At 43.3% G+C, this 13974-nt stretch overlaps 1 long non-coding RNA gene across 2 annotated transcripts; it reads right to left on the bottom strand.

Annotated features, from left to right (window-relative positions):
• Positions 1 to 7531: 7531 nt before the first annotated feature.
• LOC107984393 (uncharacterized) lies at positions 7532 to 13676 on the bottom strand. Of its 2 annotated transcripts, XR_001748402.2 has the most exons (3): positions 13483 to 13676; positions 9461 to 9964; positions 7532 to 8152 (listed from the first exon to the last, which is right to left on the bottom strand). It is a non-coding gene; the product is annotated as an uncharacterized LOC107984393 (long non-coding RNA). The 2 variants fall into 2 exon arrangements; XR_007062897.1 differs by lacking the exon at positions 13483 to 13676 and having other exon boundaries at positions 9461 to 10611.
• Between the last annotated feature and the right edge of the window lie 298 nt (positions 13677 to 13974).

A 13974-nucleotide genomic window follows, 5' to 3' on the forward strand; every position in this document is an offset into this window, starting at 1 on the left:
GTCTTTCCTATCACTGGTTTCATATAAATGGGATCATAAGAAGGTATTCTTGTATGACTGACTTTGCACAGTCAAAATCATGATTGTGCAATGTATGCCTCAGAAGTTCGTTCTTTTCATTGCTGAGTACTATTCCATTATATGCATATACCACAAATTATTGTTCATAAACACATAGACTGTTTTCAATTTTGGCTCTTGTGAGCAAAGTTGCTATGTGCATGTCTTTGGGTCAAAAAAAGCACTCATTTCTATTGGGTACCTAGGACCAGAGTTGCTGAAAAACAGAGCCTATGTATGTTTAGCCTTTGTGGAACTTTCAAATAGTTTTCTGAAGCAGTGATCACTATTTACACTCCCATTAGCATTTTTAAATTGGACTTTATGTCTTTTGCTTACTGATTTCTACGAGTTCTTCATATATTCTGAATATTACAGTGCTTTGTCTGATACATGAGTTAAAAATATCTTGTCCTAATCTGTAGCTTGCTTCTTCTCTCTCTTAATGGTGTAGTTTTATGAAAAGAAGCCCTTAATTGACTAAAGTCCAACTTAACATTTATTTTGTGTTTACTGTTGTGCGTGTACATATTCATGTATATCCTATTGAAGAAAACTCAGATGACTCCAAAGTCATGAATATGTTCTCTCTTGTTTTCTTCTAGAAATTTAATTGTTTTAGCTTTCACATTTAGATCTATGATCCTTCATGCATTAATTTTTGGAAATGATGTCAGATAGAGGTCAAGGTTCATTTTTTTTTCTGCATGAATATCCAATTAACCCACACCATCAATTAAAAAGTGCAACTCTTCCTCTCCTGAACGGTGGTGGAGCATTTGTTGTAAATCATGTGATTGTATATGTGTCTCCACTTTCTTTCCTCTTTATTAGCCACTGATGTGGTCACTTCGTGTGGTGGCAAGATCATCCCCTGTAACCCTAGGCTTACATCTAATCACCTTAGCAGTTCCAGGTGAAAAGCACACCTCTTTCCCATCAGTAGTCCCAGCATTGCACTTGGCTTTCCATAGCAGTCTTCCATCAGTCCCTACGGTCAAATGCTGAATGGCCAGGGTTTGGTCACATGCCCATCCCTGAGGGTGGGGCAGAGGATGCAGAGAATCCCACCCAAACCTCTGGACTGGAATGGAAAAGGGGTGGTTCTTCAAGGAAACTTGGGATGCTGTTACCAAAAGAAAGGGAAATGGATGCTATTACCAAAAGAAAGGGAAATGGATGCTGGGGCAAACAAAACAAATACTACTTAGACTCCATGACCATTGGGCTCCTCAATCTTTGAATCTGTCATTCTCCTGTGCTAGCTTAACTGTGGGGTGCTTCTGGACACCAGACACTATGTGAAGCACTGCAGGTGGTACAGACTGCTTTAAGATTTTGTACACAGCCTGCCTGATGACAGATAAGATGAAGGAAAGCTGAAAAATGCCCCAGCATGACTGAATCTCCTGGCTTATCAAGGGACTCTGGCCAGTGTTGGGCGCCTCCGAGTTGCCACCATTAGGCTACCCAGGGAAGGCGGGTCCGTAGAGTTTCACATCATGCCTCATTTCACCAGGTGTGATTTCCAATGAGACATCGCTCCACTGGGGACTAATGATGCGGGGAGAGTAGAGCAGGGAGGCTGTGATTTCCAATATGCACCAGCCAGCCATTACTAGCAGGAAATGGATTTTTGCTGGGTAATCAAAGTCAAATCCCTCACTTTTCCCACCCCTAAGTGCCCCTGCCACTGGCCCCCATCACACGCAAGGTGACTTCACTCTGCCCTGTTCCCTGAGTCCTCAGCAAACCAAAGTCCAAGCCGGGCTCCCCACCATTCCACTTTCCCCTCCCAAGGAGACTGGACATACCCTCTCCTAGGATACCTGGATTCCTGTGTGGGAAGGCAGGCTGTGTGGAGAAGCACAGGGAAGGAGGAGGGGTGAGGTCACAGGAGGGAGGTCTTCACCTGGCGGGGAGTGCAGGGGAAGTAAAGCAACAATGTCAGAGGTTTAATCAACCTTTGAAGACTTCACAGTGTTTGGACAGAAGTGTGTGAATAATATTCATTTGGATTGGCACCTGTGCACACCACTGAAAGGAAAATAGCGTTTTGTCGCCGTTGTGATGAGGAGCAAGCAGTCTAGGGAGACAGGCTGCACATCCTGGCAGCTGTGAAGGTGGGGGTTTTTTTCCCCTTTTCTTTCCGACTCACTGTGACCCTCTGACTCCTTGAAAATCCAGTGGCTCTTGAGTCAACGCCTGACATTCCTTTTTCTACTTCTCCAGACAGAGCGGGGACAAGAAAATACCTGGCAAGGGCATTCAGCCAGGATGGGAGAGGGCCTGCCACCAGCCCCCTGGGTGGCCATGAACAAGTGGGATTGTGCCTCTGGGCCTCAGCTTCCCTGGGTGCCATAGGCAGATAATCTGCCTGTCCTTCCTTACTCCCCGCTTTGGTGTGAGGGTCACAACAAGAGAGGTAACCCTGAAAGTCAAGAGGGTTATTTGAGGGTGAAGCCATTCCCCTCCTCCTGAAAGAAGCCCAGTGCCTTCAACCACTAAGACACTTGCCTCAAGTGGCATCTAGGGACCCAGTGTCTTGGATGAGTCCTTCCTCTCTTATTCCTCAGTGTTCATGCAACTTCACCATCCCTCATCCTTATTTCCCTCACACCCAGGACAGTCAAGTCTCCAGGGTAAAGAAGAATCTCTATACCCCAGCCACGGACATTGTTGAAAGCTGGGAATTGCCAGTCTTTGCTCTGGGCTCCTAGCCCAGCTCCCCAGGCACAATGGATTCTGACAATCATTCCTGTGCTCACGCTGCCCCATACCATTAACTCTGTCTCTTAGGGACACTGCAGCCTCCTGTAGATCAGAGTTCTCCTTCCTATTGTTGACTGATCCATCATGGCCATGAGGCTGCCTTGAAAAGACATGCCGGTGCTGAGAACTCTAGACCTCCCTAGCCTGCCTGTCAGGGTTCTCCTGAGCCTTAGCATTTTTCTCTCCAGTGAGCGCTCTCTCTTCCTTCCTAGGGTCCCCCCTGACCCTCATCTCTTCCAGCCTACTGTTCTACTGAAAACCTCCCCTGCACCCTCTACCTCTCTTCCCACCCCCTTTCCTCCCTCTCCTTCCAATCTTTCTTCCTTTATCTTCCCCCTTTCCTTCCCTTCTCCCTGATTTTTCTCACCTATCCACTCCTTCTCCTCCCATCTTAGGCGGTCACTCCTTTTTTCTTCCCTACCCCACATCTCCTCGGTTTTTCATCTTCCAAGACAACTCTCTCTAGAGAACAGCCGAAATTCCTCTTCCCAGGCAGCGCCAAAACAATTCTAGTGTCGGACTTTCTAAACTATCACCACCGGATAGTTCTTAAACACACATCTCACACCATGCGCATGGGATCCAGGACCTGCCGGAAGGTCTTGTGGTTGGCGGTGACACATGTGCCACACACAGCACAGACGAGCCCACCACACTAGTCACACAGGATGGGACTGTTTCCAGCCCCCACATTCCATCTGCTGGCAGCAAAGTGGAGCTACTGAGATTTAGAGTGGACGGACCCTTATTAATCACCTGGGCCCCAAATTCATTGCAATCCCCATATCAATACTCATAATATAGCTTGTTTGCTGTTCAAACTTATATATTTTTGAATATTAATGCCTAATATTATTTCAGTTGCTTCTATGTTGGTTGGTTGGTTGTTTTACTATCTATACTATCATGTACATACTATACTATAGTATGATATATGATACTATAATATAGATACTAATAAATATTAGCATAGTAAATACTAATAGTATATACTATTAGTATAGTAAATACTAATAGTATATACTAATTAGTATAGTAGAGAGTATAGATACTAATAAATATTAATATCTATATTATAGTATCATATATCATACTATAGTTTAGAATATAGACTATAGTATAGATAGTATCTATAGTATAGTGTAGTATCTAGATTATAGTATTAGATAATATGTAATATTAGATATTAATGTCTATCTAGAGAAAGGACTAAACTGGAAGAGCCACAGAAACCCTAAACAAAAATAAGAGAAAGAAACTGCTCTACAGGGTATTAAAAATAGTTTAAAACCATCATAGTTAAAATAGTCCATTATTGGCGTGGGAAGGGAGAGATAGCTCAACGGAAAAAATAGAAACCAGAAATAGGCCTAAATATAAAACATAATTCAGCCTATGATAGAGGTGTCTTTTCAAATCAATGGAGAAAAAGAAGGACTTGATCAGCATTATTTGGGGGAATTGTCTAATTCTGTGCTGTCTAGTACAGCAACCACTAGCCATAAGTGCCTCCTGTGCACTTGAAATGCCACCAGTCCAAAATATACACTCTATTTTGAAGAGTTGGTATGAAAAAATGTAAAATAGCTCATTAATAATTTGTAGCTAGATAACGTGTTGACATGATATTTTGCATATAGTGGGTTAAATAATATATCTTATAATTACTTCTGCCTGCTTTTTACTTTTTTAATGCAGCTAATAGAAAATATAAAATTATATACGTGGCTCACATTGTATTTCTACTGGATAGCAGTAGTGTAACCATATGTAAAAAGTAAAATTAGATCTCTATCTCACTCCTTATACCAAAAATAAAATCCAAATACATCAACGATTTTAATGTAAAAATGACATCCTGAAAGAAAATACAGATGATTTATTTTATTATTTTATTTTATATTCCTGGAGTAGAGAAGATCATTGAAAACACAAAACTACAAATCTTTTTAAAAGATTGATAAATTTGATATAAAAAGTAAAATTGCTTCTGTACAAAAAGACCTTTAATAATATCAAAACACAAGTTTAATAGGAAAAATATTTGTAACATATAATGGCAAAAAGTTAATTTGTTATGATAAGAAAAGCTCCGACAAACCATTTAAAAAAAAACAAAATATGAACAGCCCTATAGAATTGGCAAAGGATATAAATTAGCTATTCAATGAAAAATAGAAATTAAAAATCATCAATCTTGAAACAAGTGGTAAACCCATAATGACAGTTGACTTGGGGTGATCTACTTATGGGAGTTCATGATATAGTCTCTCTACTTTTGCATGATTGAAATTTTGTATAAAAAATCATCAAAGTGCATATAAAAATGCTCAACTTCACAATTAAAGAAATGAAAACTTGAAAACAGAATATTATTTTCTTCCAGCAGATGACAAAACCTGAAAGATAATAAAGGTAGCAGGATACTAGCTTCCTCATTGTGGTGGTATAAATATGTGCCACCTCTTTAAAAGACAAATTTGGCAATAATTATCAAAATTGTCAATGCATATCCTTTGACCCAGAAACTGTACTTCTAGGAATTTGACCTACAAAAGCATAAACAAGTATACAATAATAGTCAATGCAGTATTATTACAGTAGCAAAAAATACCAACCAAACAACCTAGAAGCAACTGAAATACCCATCAACAGTGACTAGAGAAGTAAACGTTGACCAAGCCATGCCATGGAATTATGCAGATATTAAGAATGAAGTAGACCTATGTATACTGGTATGGAAATATCTCCAATCTGTATCAGTAAGTGGAAAAAAAGGAAATTACAAAAATTAACTATGATATAATTCTATGTGTAATTTTATAAAGATATAATTATGTTGTAATCACAACAAGCATTTCTGGAAGAATCAGTCATATGTTAAAGTTAGTTACCTCTCAGTGGTGAGAAGAACTCAGGAGTAGGGAAGAAAACTGTTTAATTTCTGTTATCCTTTTATGATGTTTGAACTCCTTTTTTAAAAAAAACATGCTTTGAAAAGATGTCCAGCATCACTAATCATTAGAGAAATGTGAATCAAAGCAACAATGGGACACCTCTTCATATCCATTATCATGGCTATTGTAAAAATATATATATAACAAGTGTTGATGAGGGTGTGGGGAACTGGAATCCTTGTACACTGGTGGCAGGAATGCAAAAATGGGACAGCCACTGTGAAAAACGGTGTGGTGGTTTCTCAAAAAATTAAAAATAAAATTACCATGTAAATCAGCAATTCCACTTCTGGGTATCTATTTGACATAATTGGAAGCAGGTTCTTTCCATTTGTACACTCCTGTTCACACCAGCATTAATGCACAATAGCTAAAACATGGCAAAAACAAAAGTGTCTATCAACAAATGAATGGATAAGCAAAATGTTGTATATACATACAATGAAATATTATCCAGTCTTAAAAAGGAAAGAAATCCTGGTACATACTACAACCTGGATGAACCATGAAAACATTATGCTGAGTGAAATAAACCAGGCCCAAAAGGCAAACATTGTATGATTCCACTTATGTGAGATACCTAGAGTAGTCTAAATCATAGAGGCAGAAAGTAGAATGGTGGATGTCAGGGGCTGGAGGAGAAAGGGGAAGACGGAGTTATTGTTTAATGTGTACAGAGTTTCAGTTTTGCAGGACGAAATGAGTTACGGAGATGGATGGTGATGATGGTTACACAACATTGTGAATATATTTAATACCACTGAACCGTACACTTAAAAATGTTTAAGATGGTAAATTTTATGTATATTTTACTACAATAAAAACAATTGAAAAAAGTTCATCTACTATTTAAAACTTTCAAAGTATGGTTTTAAAAATTATCTAGTCTAACCCTTCATGGTTCAGAAAAAAAATTGAAACCCAAGAAGGGGTGTGTTTTGGTTGCTATTAACAAATTACTCCTGAATTAGTAGCTTAAAACAATAATTTTATAGCGTTTGTACTTTTGCAGGTCAAAAATTTGGGGAGAGTTTGACGAGGCAGCTGTGACTTAGCTGCTGCAGTCACACATGGGCTGGAACTGCAGTCATCTGAAGGCTGGGCGAGACTGAGTGGCTCACGGGGTTCATTCCCCACGGCCAGCCTGGCCACTGGCCGGGAGCTCAGTGGGGCATGGCCTTGAACAGGAACACCTCTCCAGCATGGCACTCTCAGGGCAATTGGATTTCCTACATAGGGGCTGTTTTCCCCCAATGACAGTGTCCCAAGAAACTCAGGCAGAAGTTGCACAACCTTTTCCAGCCCAGCCTGGAAAGTCAGACAGCATCAATGCCACTGTTCTGTATTAGTGGAGTCACAAAGCCACCTAGATTCAAGAGAAGAAGACACAGATCCACCACCACCACCTCTCACTAAGATGAGTGTTAAAGAAGTCTGTGGCCATGTTTAAAACCACTGCAGGAAGTAAGTTACCCAACAGAACAAAGAGTGGCAGAGGCCAAATCGAGAGCCATTGAGCGCATCCTCAATGTGACCTCCCTGCCTCCAGCTCAAGCTACCCAAACATACAGACCCATCCTAGCAGGTGAGATCATCTAGGCCCAGTAGCTGATTCCAGGACTCCAGAGTTCTTCCTCAGCTCCTTGTCCAGCAAGGCCCAAAAGGAGACTTTGGCCCCATTTTATGCAAATCTCTCATTCTCTAGAGGTGTCCTCTGGGCAGACACACAGGAGCAGACAGACTTGCAAGGAACTCCTATTGTCATCCATTTATTAGTCCAGGTAAGGAACACTGGGGACTCCTGGTGATAGCTTCATTACTGAGTCATGCCTGCCTCCCCTACCCCACTCGCTCTTCCCTCTCCTCTACCCAATTTCTCTGCTCACCCCTTTTCTTCCTCTTCAAAAGCTGTTGGCAGAAATTGTCAGGCAGTTGATCAGATTTATTCAATTTAGACTTAACAGACCTGGGACTCCTATTTCTCCTTCAAGTTCATAAGGTTTTTGATTCCATTTACAGGTTTATTCATTTATCAGATATTCATTTCAATTCACTTTAAACACCGGACATGGGGAGATGGGTTCAGGGGAGATGCTCATCATTCATTGCTGGGGCTCCTTGGAGAGTTGTTGGCTGTGCCCATTCCATGTGGGCCGTGGCATTTCCAGGCATGGAGTGCTTTAAAGCGACAGGACACCAAGTCTGCATATTCCGAGCAGGGTGGGACTCTCAGGTGAGCTTGGTCCTAGTGGCTTGGTGCACTCTTGGGTGCCTATGGGATCCCCCAGACTGGGTGGTACTTCCATTTTCTAACTTAGCAAATGCCACCTTTTCAGATCGGGAGCTTCTTTGCAGTCTCATTCCTTAGGGGTAATAGTGAAAGGCCCCATTAGTGTCTTCTTGCACAATCCCAGATCAAGAGCCCCAGGCTCAGCCTCTACTACCTGCTCCCATTATTATGCCCCTCCATATATCTCAGGAGAGGATGCTGCCCCAATCCTCCTAGAGTTAAGGGGTCTCCAGGCCTCCAAGGAGAAGCAACAGGAAAAGGAGTCACTGGGGAGATCCCCTTTGCTCTTCACAGGGAGGGCCTACCAGCTGCAGAGTCACCGCACCCTGGGGCCCAGAGCCCACCCACCACCATCAGGAAACTCCTTCACACATCTTCTCTCCACCCTCCTGCAATAATTTAAGCCCATTCATTCTCCATCTGCCATCTGTCCATCATATTCCGGAAGGAAAAAAGGGGAAAAAACCTGTTATTTGAACAACATTATTAAGCCTTGTTACTCTGATTAATTCCCCCCACAAAAGGTGTGCCAGATTCTTCAGCATTCCTCTGATGAACATATGCCTGTTTCCCTGTCCAAACTCCCCTAAAAAAAAAAGCAGACCCTACCATGCCCCAGCCCTGGTATGTGGGCTGGGCCCAATCCATCCCCTGCTCCCACGTGGGCCTCTGGTTCTGGGTGGGTAAAAGACAGAGACAATGGCACTCAAGGACCCTTGGCCCTGGAGATGAGAACACAGGGAAATGGTGTCCAGTAGCAGGGGCCATAGGGAATAGCTGGGAGAAGCGGGACATCCCCATGTAACAGAGGGGTGATGTCCTGGCCAGACATCTGCTAAAAATCAATAATTGTCCTCCCTGTCTTTTACTCTCGCAGACCATCTGAACATCCCTTGGCCCTGATAGCCCTCTACAAATTTTCTTTTCATTTATTCCACCCAGAACCAGTTCCTCTTGTTTGCAACCAAGAACTTGCCCTCTACTCCAAGGAACAGGAGGCCAAGACATTCTGTCCCTAGGACCTGAGCAAGCAGCTGACAGAGGATGCCCCTGAGGTGCCAGGCCTGCCCCACAGCAGCCCTCCTGACAGCCAGGCTCCACCCCTGGGCACAGGCAAGCCGGCATGGGCACCGGAGGCCAGCACCTCACTCAGCTGCCCAGGCAACTCCATTCCCATTCCCATGGCTAGTCAAGCTGCTGGTGGGTTGACATTGCGCCCTCACTTGTGAGGGTCCTGGGACTTGAAGAGTCTCAGAATTTTTTGACAAGATGACATGTACAGAGATAAAATAGCTATAGTGCTTCCTGCCTTTAACCTTGAACTTGCCTCATACATCCTCCAAACACACACATGCACACACGCGCACACACACCATCTTACCTCAGAACAAAGACAGGCAGAGCCCAAGTTCAGGTAAAAGCTTATGGGAGGTCAGCAATGCCAACCTTCCGCTCCCACCTGAGGAGGACTCTGGGAGGTCCCTTAACCTCTCTCAGCAACAGCCTCCCTGGAAGGAAGACCAGGAGAGGGACCTTCCTTTATCTGCTCTGTCTGTGTGGAGAGCTCGGGATCCAAGAGGACATTGTCCTGAATGCTGTACACAACAGACGCTGCACACAGCTGGCCCTCCTTGTCCACCCTGGGGCTCTGCTGGAGAAAATGAATGTCCTTCGAGAGGCTGCATATGAAATGCAACTGTTCCATCTTGCTGACCTTCTTAAGGAAATAGAGAAGACAAATTTTTTTTTCTTCTTGTCCCTGAAACAATATTCACATGAGCCCAGAAAAAAAAAATTGTGATGTGACTATTTCTCCTTTCAGATAGCTTGTTCCAGAGACGTCAAGAAAAGAGGTAGGGAAGGGGAGATCAGAACTTGGAACTTTCTGGAAAGCAAAAAAGAGAGAAAGCATAAACAGCATATCCAATTTGAATCAGGAGGTGCATTCTAGATCCACCTCTCATTTTGAGACCATAAGCAGTCCTTTAACCTCTCTGGCCCTTGGTTTACACGGCTGGGAAATCAGCATAGTAGATGTGCCTCTGACTTACAGATCTGAAGAGGGGACTCTCTTGGTAGGCTATGCTTCCTTTATCTCTATAAAACCCTCCTCACTCCCTGCAGTGCCCATCAGAGCAAATTTCACTTTGTGGATATTCAATATGTATGCATATATTTATCTAGATCCTGCCTTGTTCTAAAAAGATTTGAAGTGCCTCGTGTGTTCAACAAACGTGTACAATGAATTAATCAATTAATGGGCTAATGGATGTGAGAGTGCTTTGAAAAGTATAAGATGAAACAGATATATTTCTTTATGAGAATAGTGACCAAGGAAGGCTGAGTGGTCCTTTCAAAGAGCAGAGACCCTCCTAGGAACTCTGTCCCGGGGAGGGGCGATTTTATCTTAAGACCAGCTGATGGGCCAATTGATCTGTGAAGGTGACACTATTCAGCATGACTTTTTAAAAGGGATTCCAATTTCCAGAGTTTTTAAATGCCACCCTGAAGTTCCTAGCAAAAAGTCATCGGTTTCTGTAGGACAGTCAGCCTCCAGACTCAAGCTATGAGAAGGGGCTTCTCTAAGTACCTTCTCCCATCCACCCCAGATTGTCCCACCACCCGCTGCCTGGCCCTCTTAGTAACTTGTGCAGGGTGAGCCCACCCTGGTCTTCCTATGAAATTCTCAAGTCACAACTAAAGGTTCTGAGGGACTTGAGTCTGGGCCCCAGTGACATGGGATTGGGGACTGGGGGGACTTGGGGGACTGGGGGGATGGCTATATGCAAGGCCCACAGTGAGCGGCAGCTCTGCAGAGCTAGCGTAGTGTTTAGCCAGGTCAGTCAGACACTGTGCCACAGCAGGGCACTGAAAATGACTTTATAGTTATTGTTCCTCAAATTGGACACCCCCTCAGAGCTCACACAATATGAGATGAAACAGCCTGCGGGAGGTTGCAAGGAAATGGAACACTGGCAGAGGGGGGTTTTATTTCCCCCGACTAAGGGAAATGCTGCAGACACCATGCCTTCCTGCTCCTCCCTCACTCCACTGCCATCAGCTACTCTTCAGACATTTTTATCTGGATGGGTTCACTGTGTCTCCAGGATTGAAATGGACTATATCCCCAGACACCTGCCCACATAACTGGTGGGGTAAATCCAGCACTTTGGGAAGGAAGGAGGGGTTAATTAAGGGGAAAGGAAGGGTCGTTGCTGCATGAAGTTATGTCTGCGTCTGTATATATTAACACATGGGTATATGTCTTTGTACACACAAACCAGCATCAATGTCTGTTTGTGAATTTGTACGTGTGCATGCGTATGTGCATGCATGTAAATGTGTGGCATGCACTGTGTGTGTGTGTGTGTGTGTGAGAGAGAGAGAGAGAGAGAGAGAGAGAGAGAGAGCATGGCTTCCAGTACAGTGCTGTCTGGGCTCTGCCTTGCAGCTCTATGCCTTATTTTTGCGGTTCAGCCAGAGCCCAATCATTACCATCAGCTGGAGACATCATTTGGTGTCATTTGGCTCTGCAGAGCTCCTGTGCCAGTGAGGAAACCCAGGAGGGTAGAGTTGTCTTAAAAAAGAACAAAAGTGAGAGAGAAACAAAAAACAGAGGGAGCAGAGGGAGGAGAGGGATGGCAGGTTTCCCAAGCAGAGACAAAGAAATGTGTGTGGGTGATACTGCAGGTAAACTGAGGCAGGCCTGAGGGGGTTGGTTTGGGGAGGAGGCTGACCTTAGGACAAAGTAAGGCCTTTACCTCCTTTAAAATATAGGAGAATTTCTATTGTCTTTGACCCATTTGAAGTCATACCTTCCCACGTAACATTTCACAAAACAGCGAACCTTTTTAAAAAGTTCTCCAGAACTTAGGAGAAAGGTTGCTGGGGAGCATTGCCTCAGAGAATATGTCCAATTTGAATGCAATTGGTTCCACATTTAGCTTTGCTTTGTACCTGCCTCTGTGCATGGGGCTTGAAAGAGCTGAGAGTGAGAAGTATGAGGAGTTCCATGTTCTGAAGGCAGACCACAGTCTTTAAAGGTATGTGACTTCTTGGTGAGCTCTGGGTTTCAGGCTACTGGCTTCTGTCTTCATTTCACAGCTCACCATGCCCTGCATCCTCCTACCTCCAAGGACAGTGGCTTGAGTTAGAACAATGGAAGAGATTGGCTGATTGGCTGGTTGGATGGAGGATGGATAGGCAGGAATTAGATAATCAGTCAAAGACGATTGCCTGGGTGCAGAGGCCCCTATGATTTATCATGGAGTTAAAGCTGGAAATAGTGTCTTCATTGCCCCCACTCCAGAAATTTCTCCTTCCTTTGTAAATTCTCAGTGACAGAGTATTCATAACTGCCTCATTAACTTAGCCTTGACTGCCCAAGGAATTCTTAGGCCTTAGTTAGCTAGCATTGATGAAGACTCTTAGAAAGGACAGCTCTTTACCTTGGTAATAATGAACATGCATGGAGCATTGGTATAAAACATGGAGCTAGACATGGTCTTTAATAAAATCTACCACTACTTAAGACTGTTCTCAATTTCCTGTTTCTTTTCATTTAGACAAACGTGGAATATAGTTCTGCATTAAGAAGAGGAAAATTCACTGAAACTCCAGCAGCAGGGATTAAAGCATAGTAGAATAGGAAGAGCTGATGTGCATAAACTGTGGTTTGCACATAATTGGTACCCTACAAATGTTGAATAGATGAATGAATAAATGTAATTCAGAGGAGGTAATCAAGAAAACACAACACACACACACACACTTTTGTGTATATTTTAAATGTACTGGTGCTGCTGGGCAGATGAATGAAATATATGCCTGGTCCCTTAGACCAGCTGCATCTGGAAAACCAGGGTTCTTGATAAACACATGGATCCCCAAGCCCAAAGCCAGACTAAAAGAAAAATCAGTATCTAGGTGGTGGGGTAAGACCCACAGACTTATATTTTCTACCAAGCATCTCAGGAAATTCTGAGGAACAACCAGGTCTGGGAATTGTTGGGTTAGATGTCCTGGGTGCCATGTTAGAGTAGCCTAGTGACATTTAGACCACTAGTTGATGCTGATATTGCTGCAAAAGCACTGGTGTAGGGAGCAGAAGATGTTGGTTCACACCTGGCAGCCAACTGTGTGTTCTTAGGTGAGGCATTCACCCTGTCTGGCCTGGGTATTAGTGGGGGAATTTAAATGGGTGCAAGAGCACATTGGAGATGTCCTTGAGATGAAGAGGACCTTCCTCCTGGCCCCTCAGCCTCCTCTACCTATATGGGGATGAAGTTCAAGAAGCAAAAGGCACCTGGATACAGGTCCAGCAAATGCATCACATACCAAGCCTCCTGAAAGAGTGGAAGGACCCAGACCCCGATCCCAGTTCCCTGCCCCTCTGATAGTCACCTAGGTCTCCCGGAAATGGCACCGAGGCGAAGCTCTAAATCACGTGCAGAATATAGTCGTTCTGTTTGCCTTTTTCCGCAGTAGATCCGATGATTTAAATTAGGTCTCGATTCTTGTTTAAATTATAGTTTACTGTTCTGCACCCTGCTCAGAAGTGAATTACCTTAAGCAGCGGTATTAATAACATGGTTATAATTAAGCCTCATTACTGCAGGCAGTTTGCTGAAACAAATTGCTTCTTCATTATTATTATAGCACCTTTGGTAAAAAGACATTTCCCCAGAATGCGACCTTGATGCTTTATATAGTAAAAGCCAAGATATGATAGAGATGTAAGGATGAATTAGCATCTTTTGCCTTCTCTATCCGGCTCATTAGAAGGAAAAGAACGCAAGTCAAATCCAAACAGCCTTGATGGCAATTTTAATCTGTATGAAATGGATAATGAATAGTTTTGAACTTTCTGCGACATTTTTGTAATGGTGTTTTATT

Source organism: Homo sapiens, chromosome 11, assembly GCF_000001405.40.
Source record: "Homo sapiens chromosome 11, GRCh38.p14 Primary Assembly".
Lineage (NCBI taxonomy): Eukaryota > Metazoa > Chordata > Mammalia > Primates > Hominidae > Homo > Homo sapiens.